Source organism: Homo sapiens, chromosome 14, assembly GCF_000001405.40.
Source record: "Homo sapiens chromosome 14, GRCh38.p14 Primary Assembly".
Classification (NCBI taxonomy): domain Eukaryota; kingdom Metazoa; phylum Chordata; class Mammalia; order Primates; family Hominidae; genus Homo; species Homo sapiens.
Genome location: NC_000014.9, coordinates 93281424 through 93303328, shown reverse-complemented (window position 1 = coordinate 93303328; position 21905 = coordinate 93281424). Strand labels below are relative to the sequence as shown.

General features: G+C 39.2%; 1 protein-coding gene across 8 annotated transcripts in view; it reads left to right on the top strand.

Moving 5' to 3' along the window:
* BTBD7 (BTB domain containing 7) overlaps positions 1-21905 on the top strand; it is a 95487-nt gene that overhangs the window by 29708 nt on the left and 43874 nt on the right. For 4 of the 8 annotated variants that reach the window (NM_001002860.4, XM_011536939.3, XM_047431566.1 and 1 more), the window contains exons 2-3: positions 7172-7359; positions 8392-9471. The exons of 1 other annotated variant lie outside the window; for it this stretch is intronic. In NM_001002860.4, coding sequence (NP_001002860.2) covers positions 7278-7359; positions 8392-9471 — 1162 coding nt within the window. In that variant the 5' untranslated portion in view covers positions 7172-7277. Of the gene's footprint in view, positions 1-7171; positions 7360-8391; positions 9472-14621; positions 15702-21905 lie in introns of those variants that run through there. 3 more of the 8 variants (NM_018167.5, XM_047431567.1, XM_017021438.2) reach the window with 2 other exon arrangements.

The following is a 21905-nucleotide window of genomic DNA, read 5'->3' as shown; positions in this document are numbered from 1 at the left end:
CCTGACCAGCAGTCCATATTATTTTAACTCTTAAAACAACCTTGTAAAGTAGGTGTTATTATATTGCCCCCATTTTAGAAATAAAGCCAGGACCTTATTAACACTTACTTTCCTGGACTGTTGGAAGAATCCTCTAATAAGTCTTTCTGCATCAAGATCTTTTTATAGATCAAGCATCTTCCAGTAGTCTTTCTGTAACAGAAGTATAATGGTGCTGCTTTGCTCTTACTACTCTGTGCTTTGTTCCAGTAGTTCCTCTATTGTGTTCCGAACAAAGACCCAATACCTTTGGCATTTGAGACTTACCTCTTTTTTTGAGATAGGATCTTGCTCTGTCACCCAGGCTGCAGTGCACTGGCATGCTCATAGCTCACTGCAACCTCAATCTCTAGGCCTCAAACGATCCTCTTGCCTCAGCCTCCTGAATAGCTGGGACTACAGGCACACACCACTTTGCCTGGCTAAGTGGTTTTTTGTTTTGTTTTTGAGACAGTCTCACTCTGTCACCCAGGGCGGAGTACAGTGATGTGATCTCGGCTTACTGCAATCTCGTCCTCCTGGGTTCAAGCGATTCTTCTGTCTCAGCCTCCTGAGTAGCTGGGACTACAGTCACATGCCACCACGCCGGGCTAATTTTTGTATTTTTAGTAGAGACAGGGTTTCACCATGTTGGTCAGGCTGGTCTCGAACTCCTGACCTCGTGATCCGCCCGCCTCGGCCTCCCAAAGTGCTGGGATTACAGGCTTGAGCCATCGCTCCCGGCCCTTTATTTCTTTTAAAACTTTGTTTTATTTCTAAGCTACTCTGGAAATGTGAGATTTAGCTAGAGATATGACCATTCATCCCACTTTGCCTGGTCAGACCTGGGCTACACGTGTTCTGTCGTCCCCTCTGATATGTACCCCTTTTCACTCTCAAGCTTCTTGGTTTGAATAATACATCATATTAAAATGGGGCTTGGCTTCAGCTCACCCCCACTAGCATTTTTTCGTACATTCCCACTAATCACAAAACCCACACCACTGCCTCACTGGCACTATACCCACTAATCCCAAGGCTTTAGTCATACAAAGAAAATAGCCATTCTTCTGTGCTCTCATACTGTTTAACCATGCCTTGTGCTTAAAGAACTCCAGAAACTGGCCTTAGGAGATCCAAAATCGAACCAAGGTTGTTGAGTGTCTCACCTCTGGAAGGAATGCTGAACAACTGATTTCCAGCCTTGTTTTTGCCAGCCAGACAGACCACCAGTTAACTCGTACTCAAGATAACCATCACAACCAGCCTTGCTAACCTGCATACTCTACCCCTCACATGCTTTGCCCAGCCCAGCCTGCATACCTTATCCCTGATGTCAATTCCTGCGCTTTGCCTAATAAATCTTTACTGGCTCTTTTCAGGGAACCAGGCTCTGCTGTCTGTCTCCCTTGCGCTCTAGCACAGTAGGACAAGCCCCAGAATAAAAGCTTTGTCTGGGAAATCTGTCTGTCCCTTTGTTAATTTTCATTACATGGGGAGTCCAAATGCCTATGGTCTGTTATAACAATGTTGTTACCTTAGATTTGACAGGAGTGAAGTATTAGTATAGTTTTACATTTCTCTTTCATTATGGTTTTTCTTTAGGTTTTTTGTTTTTGTTTTTGAGAAAGTCTCACTCTTTTGCCCAGGCTAGAGGGCAGTGGTGTGATCATAGCTCACTGCAGCCTCGAACTCCTGGCACAAGCAATCTTCCTGCCTCAGCCTCCCAAGTAGCTAGGACCATAGGCACGTACCACTACACCTGGCTAATTTTATGTATATGTGTGTGTGTATATATATATATATGTAAAAATATTTTTTGGCTGGGCACGGTGGCTCACGCCTGTAATCCCAGCATTTGGGAGGCCAAGGCAGACGGATCACCTGTGGTCAGGAGTTCAAGACCAGCCTGACCAACGTGGTGAAACCCTGTCTTTACTAAAAATAGAAAATTAGCCTGGCATGGTGATGCATGCCTGTAATCCCAGCTACTCAGGAGGCTGAGGCAGGAGAATCGCTTGAACCCAGGAGGTGGAGGTTGCAGTGAGCTGAGATCGCACTACTGCACTCCAGTCTGGGCAACAAGAATGAAATTCTGTCTCAAAAAAAAAAAAAATTTGGAAAGACAGAGTCTCACAATGTTGCCCAGGTTGGTCTCTAACTCCTGGCCTCAAGCAGTCCTCCTGCCTCAGTCTCCCAAAGCACTGGGATTATAGACGTAATATAGGCATGAGCCACTGAGCCAGGCCGTTAATTGTTATTTATATTCACATTTGCCCCACATTCCTATCCTGTTCCTAAAGTCAGACTGAAAGGGAAATATGTTTAAAATGCGAAATTCAGGTGCCTCTTTTTTTCCCCTCTGTAGATTAACATTTAGTATGGAAATACCTTCCAGCTGGGCACCGTGGTCACACCTGTAATCCCAGCACTTTGGGAAGCCAAGATAGATAGATCACTTGAGCTCAGGAGTTTGAGACCAGTTTGGGCAACATGGCAAAACCCTATCTCTACAAAAAAAAAATATATATATATATACACACACACACACACACACACACACACACACACACACACACACACACACACACACACACACACACACAAATTAGCTGGGCATGATGGCACACGCCTGTAGTCCCAGGTACTCAAGAGGCTGGGGTAGGAGGATTGGTTGAGCCTGGGAGGTGGAGGTTGCAGTGAGCCATGCACGTCTAGCTGGGCAGCATAGAAAGACCATATCTCAAAAAAAGGGCCGGGCACCCAGTGGCTCATGCCTGTAATCCCAGCACTTTGGGAGGCTGAGGTGGGCGAATCACAAGATCAGGAGTTCAAGACCAGCCTGACCAACATAGTGAAACCCTGTCCCTACTAAAAATACAAAAATTAGCCAGGCATGGTGACACACACCTGTAATCCTAGCTACTCAGGAGGGTGGGGCAGGAAAATCACTTGAACCCAGGAGGCAGAGATTGCAGTGAGCTGAGATCACGCCACTGCACTCCAGGCTGGGCGACAGAGCGAGAGTCCATCTCAAAAAAAAAAAAAAAAAAGAACAAAGAAAGAACTTCCTTCCCCATCCATATTTCCTAAACTAATAAACCGTACAACTTCATTAAATTTTTGGAACTCTGTTTCGACGTTCTTATGTTACAGATACAGGAACTGAGGCCCATAGAGATTACATGTGACGTGTCCTACATACATAGTAAATTAGTGACACAGAGATAACCGAATCCTAGATACCTTAACTCCCACAGTTCTTTCTATTGCATGAAGCAATAAAAAGTGTTTTTATGGCAAAGATCAGCATTTTCCTGAGTGTGTTATGCAAGTTCATTCCTTCATGCCCCGTGGGGGCAGCAGGGCTTCTTTAGATCATGCTGAATGCTCCCTCTTTACAATGAACCTCAGCACTTTAAAGGTGCTCAAATGTCCTGAAGTAAAGAAACCTATTTGGCTTTGTTTAATCCTACATTTTCTAAACTTTGGGAAAGCTCTTTGGAAAATGCTGGCCTAGGGCTTTCTTTTTGGGGCTGGGGTAAGGGGGTGGGTTAGGGAGGAGAAAGTTGACTTCTCTTTTTTAAAAAATGTCTCATGGGTTGTTTAGTCTTTCTTGCATTCAACATGATTCCCCGCCCCCACCCCACAGTTAGGTCTGCCGTGATCACTGGAGCTTATTTTAGTTTAAGACAGTCAGCATCATCTGATTGGGATTGATCATATGCTATTAAGAGGGAGTCCCCCAGAATGGTGATTCTAGAAAAAGGATTCATCAGCCTTTTGCATATTCTGGGCCTCTCCAAGTCCTGTAGACCTTCTCCTCTCCTCTCCCCTCTCCTTGCTCCTCTCTCCGTTGCATCATACAAAGATTGGATGTCTGTAGAAAAGAGACCAGGCTTGCCTGGAGAGAACACATCGCTGGAGAGATTAAACTGAGACTAGTTCTCATTTCCAACATCTACAAGTGATGGTTTAGATTCAGAAATAAATAACATAATACTGAGCACCATCTGACATAGGATTTTGGTTACCTGAGAAGTAATGACATTAATCCCTGAGTTAATTGTGAGGATTTTGAGAAGAAATATTGCTGTAGTACTAGAACTGTAGTCAGGGTTACCCATCAGGCTCTGGAACTGGGGAACACAGGGTAGACTCAAGGGTTACATCTCATCCAGGAAATCTGCCTCCCCCACCTCCCTTCCCTTCCAAGGTCTGTGTTTATTTTAGTATATAGAGCTCCAGTAGGATATATGAATGTCCCCAAATCAGTTCATCCTGAAGGGAGTTCCCATTAACCAGGAGCTACCAGGAAGAGATTTTCCCTAACTCCCAAAGACACTTGTATTTCTGGCCACCTCTCTAAGGTGAAACCCCAGCTATCCCAGCAGCTACTACTGCTTATTGTAGCAGCAAATGGCCAAACATCCTTAGCTCAGCCTCTGACTTCCCTAGTGTTTGCAACTTGTTCTTGTTTCTCCAGTGGGGCCATTGATGTCATATAACTCTTGTATAATTGCTTTAGGATATCTAATTGTGCTCATCGTAAAATAGAGCTTTTTAAATTTTGTTTTCTTTTTTCTTGGTGTTCTTCCCTTACCAGAGCTTTTTTTTAAAAAAAGGGATTTTTGACATGGTTTAAGTATTAAACCATTGTAATACACGTTGAGTATTCCTTATCTGAAATGCTTGGAACCAGAAGTGTTTCAGGTTTGGGATTTTTTCCAATTTTGTAATATTTGTGTCTACATAATGAGATAGCTTGGTGGGGTACCCAAGTCTAAACACAAAATTCATTTATGTTTGATACACACTTTATACACATAGCCTGAAGGTAATTTTATACAATATTTTTAATATAGTGCATGAAACAAAGTTTATGTACATTGAACCATCAAAAAGCAAAGAAGACAGCTCCAGAATTTTCCACTTGTGGCATCCTGTCAGCACTCAAAAAGTATTGGATTTTGGAGCATTTCAGATTTGGGATTTTCTGATTAGGGATGCTCAACGTGTGGCATCTTGAGTCTCTACAAACCATACAAGATTCTCAGATGAAAATAATTCCATATGTGTGTGCATGCATGTACGTGTTAAAGTAAGAGTAGTAAATTCTTGTCCGCTTCTGAAGACGCTTCTGATTTTTCTTCATCCGGAGGCAAGGCTCTATTCTTCTTTGTTTCATGCCATAAGCATACTCTGCTATGTTACTAAATTTACTCAGTCAATAGAAATAAAAAAGCAAAACAAACAAAAAAAAGAAATAATAATCGAACTTGAAAGTGCAAAGAGGCCTAGCCATAGGAGTGACACCATGCCGTCTTACCTTTAGAAACACTTCAGCATGATTTTCACCATCTCCCCTTACACTCAGATTCCAAGCTCATCTTAAAAGTCTTTTTCCCCCCTCATTTTGGTAAAGGCTTTTTATTTTACATGATAGTTTTATTCTGGATTTTTGTTTATATATTTTAAACTCTTTTGAGAAAGGATTGTTTGTGCTGTTTTTTGTTTTAAATGTAAACCCTGAGTGAGATTAGGATTTGACCTATAAATGAGGCCACAAACTTGGCCTCCAGGCCCTTATTTTCTTTGAAAGAACCACTATAAAAGCCTGATAAGATCTTGAAGATTCTGTGGAGCTCAGCTTTAAAAGTAAGATTTGTTAGACTTAACTGGTTTTTAAGTTTGAAGTGGAATTAATAGAGGTAATTTTAGTTCCTGTTTTCCTGTTTTGCAAGACTCCTGGTCTTGGCCAGGAGTTCAAGACCAGCCTGGCCAACATGGTGAAACCCCATCTCTACTAAAAATACAAATATTAGCCAGGCATGATGGCGCTCACCTGTAGTCCCAGCTACTCAGGAGGCTGAGGCAGGAGAATTGTTTGAACCCGGGAGACAGAGGTTAAAGTGAGCCGAGATTGCGCCACTGCACTCCAGCCTGGGCGCCAGAGCGAGACTCCGTCTAAATAAATAATTAATTTTCATATAAATATAGTCTATAAAAGATTGTAGGAAAACACAAATGTTAACGATATTTTTAAACATGAATTCATAAGGTTATGCTGTGTCACTAACAGAGATGAAAATAAATTCCAAGCATCTTGACACAGTTCTGTTTCTAGCAGATTTTTGTGATAATTTGTGTACGTGTTTTTCACTATATTTGTTAAAACACTTCATTGTGAGGCTAGGTTAACTGCCTACTGGTTTCTTAACAATTCCAATAATAGATTTTAAATGGCGTTTTCTCTTCTTAAACTCGTTACCCCATTTAGTCAGATAGATTTTATATATCCAGATGGTGTAAAGATTTAGAAGTATTTCCATTAATCTTGTTCTCTCTTAGATTTTCTTTTTTGCATAAATCTCTTGCTAGCAGCTCTGAGAGTTAAGTTTCCATGTTCAGAATTTAATCTGTAATTGTTAGAATTACCTTTTATTGCTACTGGCCTGTCCATTTAAATCATCATATCACATAATAGAAAGCAGGATTTTTTTTCAGGGCTTTATGGGGTGGATAGATAAAATTTTTTGTTTTGTGTCTCTTGCAATGTGTATAATAACTTCTTTCAAAATTACCATAGAACAAGTAGCTTATATATATTTAGCTTTAATTGTCCACCTTTCCTCCTCCCTCTTTTAGTAAAATGCCTAATTATACAGATTAAAGATTGATTTTTAGCAACTTTATTTTAAGGCAGAAAAACAACTAATCAATTATGTGTTATTTGTATGTGCGGTACCAGTGTTGACCTCTTAAATGTTTGTAAATTGCTTACAATGTTAGATAATAATGAATGGTGATTGCCTCTAAGGATTTAAAACAAAAATTAAAACATTTATTTTCAGTCCAAGTACTTTTCCCTGTGTTTTCAAATACTCTTCCTGTAACTATATATTTAAATTGGTTTGATATGTTACTTTTTACTGACTTAGAAAGTATATAATTGGTACATTTTATGGCTCAAATTGCAGCTAACACAGATAATTCAAGCTTAAAGATTTACATTTTATGAAAATTTGACATGTGAATTTGACAGCGTGTTGTTATTTGTGAATGAAAGCAGTTTTCAGTAGCTTTTTAAAAAAAACTGTGATCTGAGATACACTTGAAAAAATGAATTAAATTATTTTTATTTCATATCAAGAAATGGATGAAAAGAGGCTGCTGGATCCAGGGTTGAAGGTTCATAAAGGCCTCTGGGATTATACTCTGAAGAACCCGCAGACGGAATGCCTGAGTGACTGAAGAAAATGGGTGCTAATGCATCTAATTATCCTCATTCATGTTCCCCGAGGGTAGGGGGAAATTCACAGGCCCAACAGACTTTTATAGGTAACTTTCAGTTTTTCTAACTTCATTTTCTTTTGTGACTATAATAGAATTGTGTTTTCGGTAGTCTCTGTAGATGACAAAAGAAGTGAGCTGTAGTTATTATAATAATTCTGCAGCATCTAGGTTTTTTCCCCCAACAAACGTAAATCTTAAGTCTGGTTTGTATGGTTTTTATCTTAAACCACTTGTAGCACAATTGAGCTTTTCTATGTTTTAACCATAATTGCCAATTACCTTAGGCAAACTAGCAGTCTCCATTGGTGTTAAAACAGCGAAGTACATATTTCCTGTGTCCCATTTCATTTATTTTGCCCATACAAATGCAGACTTGTGTAATTAAGAAGAAAAAGAAACATTTCACAATTATATACAAGTAATGTTCTTAATTTACAACTCTGCCTATTTTTCATTCCTAAAAACCCATGATTAAGATCTATGACAAATGTCCTTTGATAGCCAGGGAACGAAAGACTTTTTCTAAAAAAATTTAGACTAATTTGCTCTGTTTGTCCCTATTTCTTATTTAATATAAAAAATGTAGGCCAGTCACAATGGCTCACACCTGTAATCCCAGCACTTTAGGAGGCCAAGGCAGGAAGATTGCATGAGGCCAGGACAGGAGTTCAAGACCAGCCTGAGCAACATTAGTGAGACCCTATCTCTACCAAAAAAAGAAAAAAAAATTTTTTTAATTAGCCAGGCATGGTGGCACATGCCTATACTCCCAGCTACTTGGGAAGCTGAGGTTGGGGAGAATCCCTTGAGCCCAGGAGTTTGAGGCTGCAGTGAGCTATGATCTTCCCACTGCACTCCAGCTTGAGCAACACAGTGAGACTCCATCTCTAAAAATTAAATTGAATTGAAAACTAAAATGAGTTAATTGAACTTTTTGTCTTCCTTTATAAAAAACAAATGCAATTTTGAGTGGTTCGGTAATGTCTGCTTACAGAATTTTTCAACATGAAAAATGTTAAACGTTGAAAATGAATGTTAAGAAAAAATAAATTTTCATTTGTTTAATTTTTTTCTTAGGGACCTCATCCTATTCTCAGCAAGGCTATGGTTGCGAATCAAAGTTGTATAGCCTTGACCATGGCCATGAGAAACCACAAGACAAAAAAAAGAGAACCTCTGGTCTTGCCACCCTCAAAAAGAAGTTTATTAAGCGTCGGAAATCTAATAGGTCTGCCGATCATGCCAAGCAGATGCGAGAACTCCTCTCTGGGTGGGATGTTAGAGATGTCAATGCATTAGTGGAGGAATATGAGGGAACATCAGCATTAAAGGAGCTTTCTCTACAAGCCAGTTTGGCTAGACCAGAAGCCCGGACATTGCAGAAAGATATGGCTGATCTTTATGAGTACAAGTATTGTACTGATGTAGACTTAATATTTCAAGAAACTTGTTTTCCTGTTCATCGTGCCATTTTGGCAGCAAGGTGTCCATTTTTTAAAACACTGCTTTCTTCCTCACCAGAGTATGGGGCAGAGATAATAATGGACATCAATACAGCTGGTATTGATATGCCCATGTTTTCTGCTTTGTTACACTACCTTTATACAGGAGAGTTTGGAATGGAGGACTCAAGGTTTCAAAATGTCGATATCCTTGTTCAGCTTAGTGAAGAATTTGGAACACCAAATTCCCTTGATGTAGATATGCGTGGACTCTTTGATTACATGTGTTATTATGATGTCGTCCTTAGTTTTTCTTCAGACTCTGAACTGGTTGAAGCTTTTGGTGGAAATCAGAACTGTTTAGATGAAGAGCTCAAAGCCCACAAGGCTGTTATTTCTGCACGGTCCCCATTTTTTCGAAATTTATTACAAAGGAGGATACGAACTGGTGAAGAAATCACAGACCGAACTTTGAGGACTCCCACAAGAATTATATTAGATGAGTCCATTATACCAAAAAAATATGCAACAGTGATATTACACTGTATGTATACCGACGTGGTGGACCTCTCTGTTTTGCACTGTAGCCCCTCTGTGGGGAGTCTCAGTGAAGTTCAGGCTCTCGTCGCAGGGAAGCCAAACATGACCAGGGCAGAAGAAGCCATGGAACTTTACCACATAGCACTGTTCTTGGAATTTAACATGCTTGCACAAGGTATGAAGTTCTGGTTTTTAATTCTGATTTATAGAATTATGTATTGATCTTCCAAATTGAAAACACAACCAGTATATTCTATGATTTCAGTGTTTGGGATGTTACAGGGTCAGTTTTTTTGAACCTTCAGTTATGACATCTGAGACAGATTGAGGGTCAGTATTAATGTGGTTCTTTATTTACTAGTAAAACCAAGTATTCAGTACTAATGACTTCAGAGCATTAAATGAGACTTGAGGTTCTTTCTTCCCTAATGTAAGACGATAGGTATGGGAATATATAATTACCAACCTACACCCTCTCCACCCAAGCTTTGAAAGAGCCCAGTTTCCCACATTTTGAGTCTCATATTTATGTTCAGTACCTTGTTGATGTTTAAATGTTTGGATAAGAATAAAAATTCATTACAAAAATGAAGATAGTCACATTTAGATACGAATTTAGTTGAATCAGAATTGGGCAGGGTTTCTGATTTAAATTTTAAAATATTCCTTATCTTATTTTTAGATTCAACTTGTACATCAAGCCACAGCCTACAGCGTGTAAAACACAGTTAGCGCTAGACTCATGTGCCTTCTTCATTTAATTTAAACTAAAATTTTTTTAAAATTAGGACGGCACGTTTTTTGTGTTATAGGCAAACAAATTCATGAAAGTTACATTAAAAGAAGTATACATCTGTTGGTAAATGTTAGAATCTTAACATTTCAGAGCTGGAAAGAGACCTTTTGTAGGAGAGCAAAGACAGTTTGCTGTTTTGACAGAGTGCATTCTTAGCTTTCTGTGACCATATATTAAAAGAAAATAAGCTATGTGACATGAGACTACTTGAGAAATTTAGCTAATGCATATTAGCTAAAAGAACATTAGAAGTTGCCAGTTAGAAGAAAATATTAATGGTTTGGGTAAGAGACATGAATTTAAATAAGGAAAGCTAAGTACTGAACTTGAAAATAATATGTATTATATGGTTAAGTCAGCCTATCAATAGGGCTTTGAGAAATTGAAAAATAGCCCCAGTTAAATAACAACATTAAGCCAGTCTCAGTGGTGTGTGGTTGTAGTTCTATCTACTTGGGAGGCTGAGGCAGGAAGACCGCTTGAGGTCAGGAGTTCAGGGCTGCAGTGAGCTGTGATCATACCTGTGAATAGCTACTGCACTGTACTCTGGGCAGCATAGTGAGAACTCAGCTGTATTTTTTAAAAATCTCAGTAATAAAATGGGAACTTACACAGAAGAAGGCGTTGATAAACATGAGTGGGAAAATGTTGAGATTTCTTTTACATAAAGAATCTTTTAAAACCTTACTTTACCATAATCCTTTTATAATAGATGTTTTATTTTATTACAACAACCAAAATGTCATTAAAACAGTTTATTAGTTTAGAATAAGAATTATTGTATCAATAATAGACTATTTAGATGTCAAACTGTAGGAAAAATATGTTATCAAAAATAGAGTAGCAGTTTAAGCTACTATTTTTTTCTGTAAAACCAAATTTGTCAGAAAATGCTTCTACAGAAAAATTTGAAGTTTGCAACATTACCAAAAAAAAAACTATATTTTCTCAAAATATTTTTATTTTTGATGCCTTTTAATAAGAAACCAAATTATATAGACTTTGTATGAGAAAGCATTCTTTAATATATGTTTTTTTGTTTGTTTTTAAAAACGGAGTCTTGATCTTGTCACCCAGGCTGGAGTGCAATGGCGCAATTTCGGCTCACTGCAACCTCCGCCTCCTGGATTCAAGTGATTCTCCTGCCTCAGCCTCTTGAGTAGCTGGGATTACAGGCTCCTGCCACCATGCCCAGCTAATTTCTGTATTTTTAGTAGAGACAGGGTTTTACCATGTTGGCCAGGCTGGTCTCAAACTCCTAACCTCAGGTGATCCACCTGCCTCGGCCTCCCAAGGTGCTGGGATTACAGGCATGAGCCACCGCACCTTGCAGGTTTTTTTAAGTTTTAGATGCAAAGTAAAATTGTCAGCCAGCTCTAAGATCTTTGGTAATACTTGATTATTTATCTAGAGTTTATCTTGAGTTAATTTCTCTTTTTTTTTTTTTAGTGTTTAGCTAAAAGTTGTATTTTATTCAGTGTATTTAAAGATATAAAATAATACTTTTTGCATTGTCTAATCTGGTTACTTAAAACAAGCAAAAAAAAATCTTGTGTACAAATATTCCCTTAAATGTGGATATATATGCTCTTCTTTTTCCCTTTGTTACTCAAAATAGAGTTTGAGTTATTTTTGTTTTGTTTTTTGTAACCCATGTGGGGCATATCTTTCCCCCATACCCATGAAATATTCATATTAAGGTTTATAAAAGACTATAACTTTAACATAATTTTTATCTCATTTCCATAGGAAGAAGAATATTAGCTCGCTTGAGGTAGGATTTTATACCATAAAGCTCAAGAGTTCAGGTTCTAAAACCAGACAGACTGGGTTTCAGTTCTCTACCGTGTCTTAGTTTGACCTTAACCAAGTCACATAGCCTAAGCCCCTCTTTTCTCATTTGTAAAATAAAGATAGTAAACCCTATAAGCTATGATGATTAAAGGAAATAATATATGTTAAATGATCTGAGTAGCACCTGTTACATAGTAAACATTCAGTAAATGTTAGCTGCTAAACTATAATAATCACCACAACATATGTCTCTCACTACCATATAGTTTTTTTCTAAAAATAACTTTAAGTTTAAAAAATAATTTTACTAGGCCAGGTGTGGTGGCTCACACCTGTAATCCCAGCACTTTGAGAGGCTGAGGCAGGAGGATCACTTGAGCCCAGGAGTTCAAGATCAGCTTGGGCAATATAGTGAGACCTCGTCTCTACCAAAAAAAAAAAAAAAAAAAAAAAAACTAGGCCTAGCACAGTGGCCCACACTTGTAATCCCAGCACTTTGGGAGGCCGAGGTGGATGGATCACTTGAGGCCAGGAGTTTAAGACCAGCTTGACCAACATGGTGAAACCCCATCTCTACCAAAAAATACAAAAATTAGCCAGGCATCATGGTACACGCTTCTAGTCCCAGGTAGGCTGAGGCAGGAGAATCGTTTGAACCCGGGAGATGGAGGTTGCAGTGAGCTGAGATCGCACCACTGCACACCAGCCTGGGCGACAGAGTGAGTCTCCATCTCAAAAAAATAAAAATACAAAAAAATTTAGCTGGGTGTGGTGGCACACACCTGTAATCCCAGCTACCCAGGAGGCTGAGGCATGAGAATTACTTGAACCCAGGAGCGGGAGGTGGCAGTGAGCCAAGATTGCACCACTCCACTCCAGCCCGGGTGATAGAGTGAGACTTTGTCTTAAAAAAAAAAAAAAAAAAAAAAAAGGCCAAGTGCAGTGGGTCACGCCTGTAACCCCAGCACTTTGGGAGGCCGGGGCAGGCAGATCACGAGGTCAGGAGATCGAGACCATCCTGGCTAACAGGGTGAAACCCCGTCTCTACTAAAAATACAATAAATTAGCTGGGCATGGTGGCAGGTGCCTGTAGTCCCAGCTGCTCAGGAGGCTGAGGCAGGAGAATGGCGTGAACCCAGGAGGCGAAGCTTGCAGTGAGCTGAGATCGCACCACTGCACTCCAACCTGGGCGACGGAGTGAGACTGCGTCTCAAAAAAAAAAAAAAATTAAAAGGCAGTATTGGCAGACAGCTAGAGTGGTTTGGCAAGTGGGTAAAAGGATTCTTGGTGCCAGGTGCGGTGGCTCAAACACCTTTAATCCCAGCACTTTGGGAGGCCAAGGCAGGCGGATCACCTGAAGTCAGGAGTTCGAGACCAGCCTGGCCAACATGGTGAAACCCCCGTCTCTAACTACAAAAATTAGTTGGGCGTGGTGGTGCATACCTGTAATCCCAGCTACTAGGGAGGCTGAGGCACAATAATTGCTTAAACCTAGGAGGCAGAGGTTGCAGTAAGTCGAGATCACAGCACTGCACTCCAAGCCTGGGCAACTGAGTGAGACTCTGTCTCCAAAAAAAAAAAAAAAAAAAAAGCCCAGAGAGTTGAGATTCTTGGCCTACACAGAGAATGTGTTTTATATCAGTAGGGAGGAGCAGGCAGTAGGCAATCACAAGTAGATAACGGCCTCAACTTACAGGCCTGGCATTTAGGACCAGATTTAACTTCACTTGATTTTCATTTAAACATAACAAAATGAATATGTTTAATTTTATTTCCTTCAAAGCCCTATTATCATAGTGAAGGAATAAAACAAATATAAGCTCTCAAGGACAAAGAGACAAAGATACCTAAGGAGAAAACAACAATGGGGAAGATGTTGAAATTTTTGGAAAATGGAAAGCAGATAGAGACTTGATTACTGGCTTAACAGAGGAGCAGCCTGTAATTAGATGCTGTAAAGGGGGCTACTGAGGAGAAGTGAGGCAGTTCACCTGTTAGAGCTCTGGCGTGGCTCAGGCCAGGTGGAACTAAGTACTCTGGAAAGAAGGGATATGCATAGCATAGAACTAAAAAGACAGAGTTGATTTTAAGTCTGAATACTGAGGGATCAGACCCTTTCCCCAACCCTGGAATTCATCTTTATGTATGGTATTAGAAAAGGATGTGGTTTTGTTCTTCTGCATATAGTGAGCCAAGTATTCCCTACTAATTCCCTATTCCTGATTTGTGCCACTCTTAAAGCTGCTATGTATGCATGGATTGTATTCATGCATCAGTACTCAGTCTCCATTTTGTCCCAGTGGTCCATTTGTCTGTTCTTGCATTACTATCACTTGCAACAAGGTGACATGCCCTTGTCCCCGCCCCCTCAATTCGCCTCTCTGCTACTGCCCCCACAACAAAACACAGGAGACCTGAGATTTTCTAAAATTTTCTGAATTTTCTAAAGAAATTAGAGAGATTCCAAATCTGGAAATAGCAACAGAGGAGGGTAGGGATGTGGCACAGGGTTGAAATCTATAATTATGTGAAACCCTATGGTGAAATCACCTACTTCCTTAACCCCTGCTGTAATACCAGCCAGGCAAATACAAGAAGAAACTGGAGTCCTGGAAATGGTGAACAGCTCAAAAGTATATACACTTACAGATACTGATGTTTTGGGTTTCCACAGTGAAATTACACTCAGGGGTTATAAAATGAAAAAGCCAGCTTGCCTTCCATTTGTTTTACAGAGGAGACTACAGTCATCAGGCCTGCCTGTGCAGCAGAGCTTTCAAACAGCTGCTTACTGCCTCAATCTTAAATATGAAAACCCATCCAAGGATAACTGGACATTTGAGGAAAGCTTCCAAATTGAGACAGAGATCAGAGCAAAAAGAACAAAGTCCTGGAGGAAGCAGACAATGAAGGGAGCAGAAGAAAACTTCAGTAGAATCAAAATATCCTTATATAAAAGAACTTTTTATGGAATCAGTGAGACATAAGCAGGATGCTATTAAAGTAAAAACAGGAGCTTTTAGAAATAAGATAGCAGAAATGAAAGATATAATGGAAGCATTGAAAGGTACAGTTGAGGAAATCTAGAAAGTAAATAATATAATAAAGAGATGAGTGGAGACAAATAAAACTAGAGTATTCATCCAGGGTCTAACATCTAACAAATAGTGGCTTTAGAAATATATACCAGAGAAAAGTGAAGAGAAGACAGTATCTAAGGAGTAATATAAGAAATATTTCCAAAACTAAAGGAATTTCTATATAAAAAGTTTCTTTTTCAGAACACTGGGGAAAAAGAGACAATTTTAAAATGTTGCAGGGAGGAGAAAAATTAGGTTCCATGCAAAGAAATAGGAATCAGATGGTATTGAGATTTTCAGTAGCAACAACTGAATACCACAATACAGTGAAGTAGTGTCTTCCAAAAGCTGATGGAAAATTATTTTAAACACAAAATCCTATATTTAGCCAAACAGTCAATCAAGTGTAAGGCTAAATAAAGGCATTTTTCAGTCATACCTCGAAAAACTGCCTGTGTAGGGATATTTCCCCTGCTTCCCCACTCAGGCAGCTGCTGGGAATGTATTCCACCAAATGACGAAGCAAACCAAGAACAAAGAAGTGAAGGATCTAGAAAATGGGCTCCAACACGGGAAGGAAGCAAAGGGAGATCCCACGCATCAGCCACACAGTAGGTCTTGTGGGCATTCAGTCTAGCCCAGACCGGGAGGGTGAAAGTCTCCAAGGAAAGAGGTGTCTCGGAAGAAATCAATTACTTTCAATGTTTGAACATTAAATAGCAAATGACAAAGCAATTTTATGGCTCTTGTGGTGCATTTATGAAGAATTAGCAATAAGTTCTTAGAAAATGAAGCAAATGGAAAAAGAAGAAATGAATATTTCCAAGATAAATTTAACAGTACATATGAAAGAATAAATAATTTTAGTACACAGCATGGCTCAGCAGTAAGCACTATTTAATTATAAACACTAAATATTGATTTAATAAAAATAGTAATATAGAGAGGTAAATACTAGAAGAAAGAGCTAAAGAATTGAGAGTAGTTACCTCTGGGGAGCAGAACTGAAAGTGGAAGGGATGTAGGACGGGGTGGGGGGGCGGGGGGGTTTAGGGTTAGCATTGTGTTACTACCAGACTTTTTAAATGATGAGCATATACTACTTTGATTACAAGGTTAACTTTTTTTTTTTTTGAGACAGAGTCTCGCTCTGTCGCCCAGGCTAGAGTGCAATGGCCCAATCTTGGCTCATTGCAACCTCTGCCTCCCAGGTTCAAGCGATTCTCCTGCCTCAGCCTCACAAGTAGCTGGGATTACAGGTGCCTGCCACCATGCCCGGCTAATTTTTTGTGTTTTTAGTAGAGACGGGGATCTGCTCTGTTGGCCAGGCTGGTCTCAAACTCCTGACCTCAGGTGATCCACCCGCCTCAGTGCTGGTATTACAGGCATGAGCCACCATGCCTGGCCCAGAATTAACTTTTTAAATGTAAAGATATGACATCAGTGCCCATAAGAACCAGAGAGACCAAGAGAAGGCCACAATCCTAAAGAACTGGAGACTTTATCATATCTTTGAAGTCTGTTAACTAATGAGCTCATGCTTATAATTTGAATGTACAGAGGGCTGTTACTTATCTCCATTGGTCATCCTGTCAGCCGATGAATGTGGTGAGGCTCAGAGATTATTAACTAGCCTTTTCCCAGGTTTGGAAGTCACGAAGCTGTAACTCATACCAGCTCTTCTGACTCTAGGCTCAGGAATTTGGGCATGGTAGGAGAAGGGAGAAATACTGGACCCAATTTCCAGGGATGAGGGTGGGAGGCTGTGGCCTACTCTTAGGAACAAAACAGAAAACTATAGTGATTGAAACATCAACTTGTAGGAGCCTCAGCTGTGAGCCCGATTTGTGGCTGAACAACAAATCATTACCCCCGACTTGGGTTGAGGGTAATGTGGGCTCAGCTAGGAGGTTTAAAGCTGTAGGGTCAGGGATCTGAGTAGCTCACTCAAACTTTGCTTCAGAGCACTTAGCCAGAGAACAGGGGCTTTGTACTGTTTCAGCCATTGTTTCCTGAATAGGTAGCATTCCTATGTTAGTCATTTGACTTTTCTGGCTGCCCAGCATTAGGACCTTCTTCCCAGCCTTACTGTGTATGTCTTCATAGGAGGCAGAGCCCACCTCCCAGTAGAAAAGCCTTAAAGGTCATATACTTTCTTCTGCAGCCTTCTCTAGTCAGGGTTAGTGGTACAGAAAAGCAGGGACTATAGAGAATTTTTTCTGGAAGCAGAGTGGGGCAGCAACATCTAGTGGAAAAGGAGAGAAGGCCATGGCAGTGGTGCCATTGATGACATTCACTATCCAGGGACAGAATGTAGGAGCTTTAGTGGCCAGGGTCCCAGGCAACTCAGGGTCTTCACTGGGCTTCCATGTTGTGGAGTCCCCATCCTGCAGCCTTCCTTAGTCCATGTTTACTGAGCTGGGTCTCCAGCTTTTCCCAGCAACACTGTAGATTAATAGTGTCCTTTGAGATAAATTCCTTTTCTCTTTAAGCCAACTAGACTTGTTTTCTGCTATTGCACCATAAGAAGCCTGATTGGTAGCAGTACCTATATTTAAAAGACTAGTATTTAAAACTCCAAAAGAGATGACTAGATTGGAAGAGTCTCCAAAGAAGGAGCACATGTTTGATCACTTTGACTTTTCATAATGACCTTAGCATATATACTGGGTAAACAGCTCTGAAAATGTGAGAACAGTAAGAGTATACCATTCATTGGTAATTTTTTGAGGAAAAGTTCATTGTTTAGGAGAACTATAGGTTAACTCATGAACTTTAACCATCCTTGTCATAAATACTGTTGACCTCAGAGCAAAATACCCCAGAATTAGCACCAACATCTACATGCATATTTACTGTAGACTTCAAACTGCAGATTTTGTTTTTTCATCTTGATCACAAATGCATTTTTCAATCTTTACAATATGAAATTTATTTATAACTTTAGTTCCAAAATGGACTCTGTAATGCATTTGCCCATATTTTTAGTCGTAATGGATGTGATTATATTTTATTGAATTAAAAATCTAACAGAAGCAACTGAAAGCAATGACCTCGTTTTTTCCCTTAGCAACTTGGTCACTTTCCAAGAGTGTGTGGCTTGAAACAAATGCAAAATAGCAAAGACTTACTGTCCCCACTCACTCATCCATTTCACCCTCTTCCCAACCTCCACTGTCTACATATTGACACTCTTCCCTCTGTCTCAGTTCTGTTGAGTTGACAGTTTATTTTACTTCTGTCTATAATTGTCTCCTCTTCAGCAAATTTGAATGTACTTCCTAGAGAAGAATGGGGCCAAGCTAAAGACCATTATCAACAGATCAGAGTAGTAAATGCAGGTTTCAAACATGCAACATAAGAGTTAATCTCAGTTTCATATTTATATATATGTTTATATATAAAACATAAAAAGTTTATATATATAATATTGCATCTTTTGTTTTAAAACTTAAGTCATTTTTCATAGACTACAAACTCTTCACCTCTGACCCTCTGCTCTCACTTTTCATTTGTCTGGGGGGTATTTTGCCTTTGATCATTAAATGTCCAAATTCTACCCTAACCTTTAAGACCGAACTCACATGCTTACTTTCCTTGTTTTGCTTAGCCATTCCAAGTTAAAAGTATTTTCTACATCCTGAGAATTTCTAAAACACTTTTTATTGTTCTTAGGGTTTTATATCTTCTGACTTGTTTTGAAATTACCTAGGTACCCGTCTCATTTCCTCTGTCACCTAGTGTATTGTATGCTCCCAAAGTTGTGTATCAAAATCTTGGTCATCTTTGAATAACCTGAGAACCTAGCACACTGCTTTATTCTTAGTATACTGTCAGTTACATGTTTTGAATTATTTTTAATACCTTTGAAAGCTGAGTAACCTTTTCTTTAAAAAAAAAAAAAGTGGGGAGTGGGATAGTAGAGGTTGTAATAAATTTTATCCCTAAGGAGTTGCAAACAAAATGAAAGCACTTAACCCCAGAATAGGAACAAAATATGAAGTATTATTTATAAAAGTAAGTTTACATGGGGTCTAAATGGTATAACTCTCTACCATTTAATTCACAGTTTAATGTCAGAAAACCTGTCTCATCAACTCACTGTTTACTTGTCAGTTCATTGATTTAAAATAGAATATCAATTGAATTTAGAAAATTCTCAAAAGCCAGTTTAATGCTGTTCATCTTTTAAGGCCAAAAAAAGTTTAATCCAGAGGCAGTCTTTCATTCTGCACTAATTTATAATTTAGATCAAAGAACTAATTATATATCTCAAATTTAATAATAAAAAGGTATAGTAATGAGAATTAAATTTATGGTAAATTATATAACTCAGAATGTTAAAGTAACTTGGAAATTCTTAATCTAAGTTAAGTATCTTTTTATTTCTTACTTGTCCTGTTTGATTTATTAAGGGAAAAGAAAATTTTAAGGAGTTGCCAGTATTTCTTTGTCTATTGAAAGTGGAATGTTTATTCACCCTTATTTATATACTTAAAAGACATTGTATTGGCCTGGTGCAATGGCTCATGCCTGTAATCCCAGCACTTTCAGAGGCCGAAGCAGGCAGATTACTTAAGGCCAGGAGTTCGAGACCAGCCTGACCAACATAGTGAAACCCCATCTCTACTAAAAATACAAAAATCAGCCGGGCATGGTGGCGCACACCTGTAATCCCAGCTACTCTGGTGGCTGAGGCATGAAAATTGCTTGAACCAGGGAGGCGGAGATTACAGTGAGCTGAGATCCTGCTACTGCACTCCAGCCTGGGTGATAGAGTGAGAGACTGTCTCAAAACCAAACCAAAACAAAACATTGTATATAAATAAATGTTATAGCTTGTTATATGGCTTTTAAAATGTAAATATGTATCAGGTAGTTTGTAGCTATAACAAGAAGTGATATCTCTAAAATATGCACTGTTAATTTGTAGTAGAATCCATTAAATGTCTAAATTTCTTTTTATTTAAAATAATGCAGAATTTGGCTGGGGATGGTGGCTCACACTTGTAATCCCAACACTTTGGGAGGCCATGGCGGATGGATAGCTTGAGCTCAGAAGTTCAAGACAAGCCTGGCAACATGGCAAAACCACGTCTCTAAAAAGAATAGAAAGAAATTAGCCGAGTGGGTGGCACACACTTGTAGTCTCAGCTCCTCAGGAGGCTGAGGTGGGAGCATAGCTTGAGCCCAGGAGGCAGAGGTTTCAGTGAGCTGAGATCATGCCACTGCACTCCAACCTGGGCGACAGAGCCAGACCATGTCTCAAAACAAACAACAGCAACAGCAAAAATTATACAAAGTTTAGTTAGAAGCTTTCTCAGCAAGCAAAACCTTTTCTCTGATAATAAAATTCGAAAGATGGAGGGAGAAGGCAAAATAGCAGACTTTGTAAACTTATGACATCACATTTGTCTTGAATTACTGAGATATGTGTTCTTCATTGCACCTTGCACATACCACCATTTATATATGACTTTCAAAGTAAAATAGAATAATTAACATCAATTGAGGCCAGGTGTGATGCCTCCCATCACCAAGGAATACAAAATGAATGGAGTCTAAGATACAGGTGATTTGGTATAAGGAAGATAGGACTGGGGAGGAGGCATTACTGACTAAAGAGGGAAAATGACAGAAGGAAGGAAGAACCTCTGCATTGTACAAATATCCTGGCTTTTCAAACTCAGAGTTGAGATACAGTTGAAGTTTCTGTCTTAAAACCAAGCATAGGCCGGGTGCGGTGGCTCGTGCCTGTAATTCCAACCCTTTGGGAGGCCAAGGCAGGCAGATCACGCAGTCAGGAGTTCAAGACCAGCCTGCCCAACATTGTGAAACCCCATCTCTACTAAAAATACAAAAATTAGCCAGGTGTGGTGGCGGATGCCTGTAATCCCAGCTACTCAGGAGTCTGAGGCAGGAGAATCGCTTGAACCCAGGAGGCAGAAGTTGTAGTGAGCTGAGAAATCGCACCACTGCACTCCAGCCTGGGCAACAGAGCGAAACTGTCTCAAAAAAAAAAAAAAAGAAAAAAGCATTGCTCTTATCTCCTAAAACATCCAGAGGAAGACTATCACAAGATGTAAGAATTCTGTTTACTTTTAGTTGTAGAAGTGGAAAAGAAACTATTCCAAGAATTAAGATAGATTGATAATGATATTACTTAGCTGTTACTGTGAAAACACTGCACTAAGATCTTTTTATGGAATACCTCACTTAATCTTTATAGTAACCTATGTGGTAACTGCTGTCATGCTTCCTGTAATAGAAATGAGGTAACAAATCCTAAGTTGCTACCTCTCCAAGGCTATTTCAACAGATCAAAAGATGAACTTCAAAACAAGAATGTATTGAGCACCTACTCTACACTCAGTGATCAAGCTTCATGTATACTTTGCACTTCAGCAGACTTTAGATAATACGATTGATAATATTCATAAATAAACCATCTCCTATAATAACTCTCTGGTAAAACTTTACCTCTGAATTAATTCATTTCAAAAACAATTCATGCTCATTGCTGGGGGAGAAAAGAAATGATACAGAAACATATCAGAAAGTGTATTTTTGTCTACTACCAATGCTTTTCCCAAATCCTTATTAGTGATATACTGTGGCCAGTTTGATGGTTTTCCTTACAAATCTTTATATGTGCATATCTGTGTGTGTATTTAACGTGCTATCTTATTCTGTTATAAATAACATCACACTATATAACTTTTTTTCATACTTAATAAACCTTGGGAAAATGTTTATGTCAGTATATATAGAGTTTACTTTTGAATAACTGATGTTTTTTAAGTTACTGTCTAAAAATACAAGTAATAGGTTGGGTGGTCAGATAACACAGATAATACTAAAAGTGTTTAAGAACTATAAAGTCTCACTCCTCTGTGATAACTACTGTCAACAAAAAGTACCTTTTGGGCTAGGTGAGGC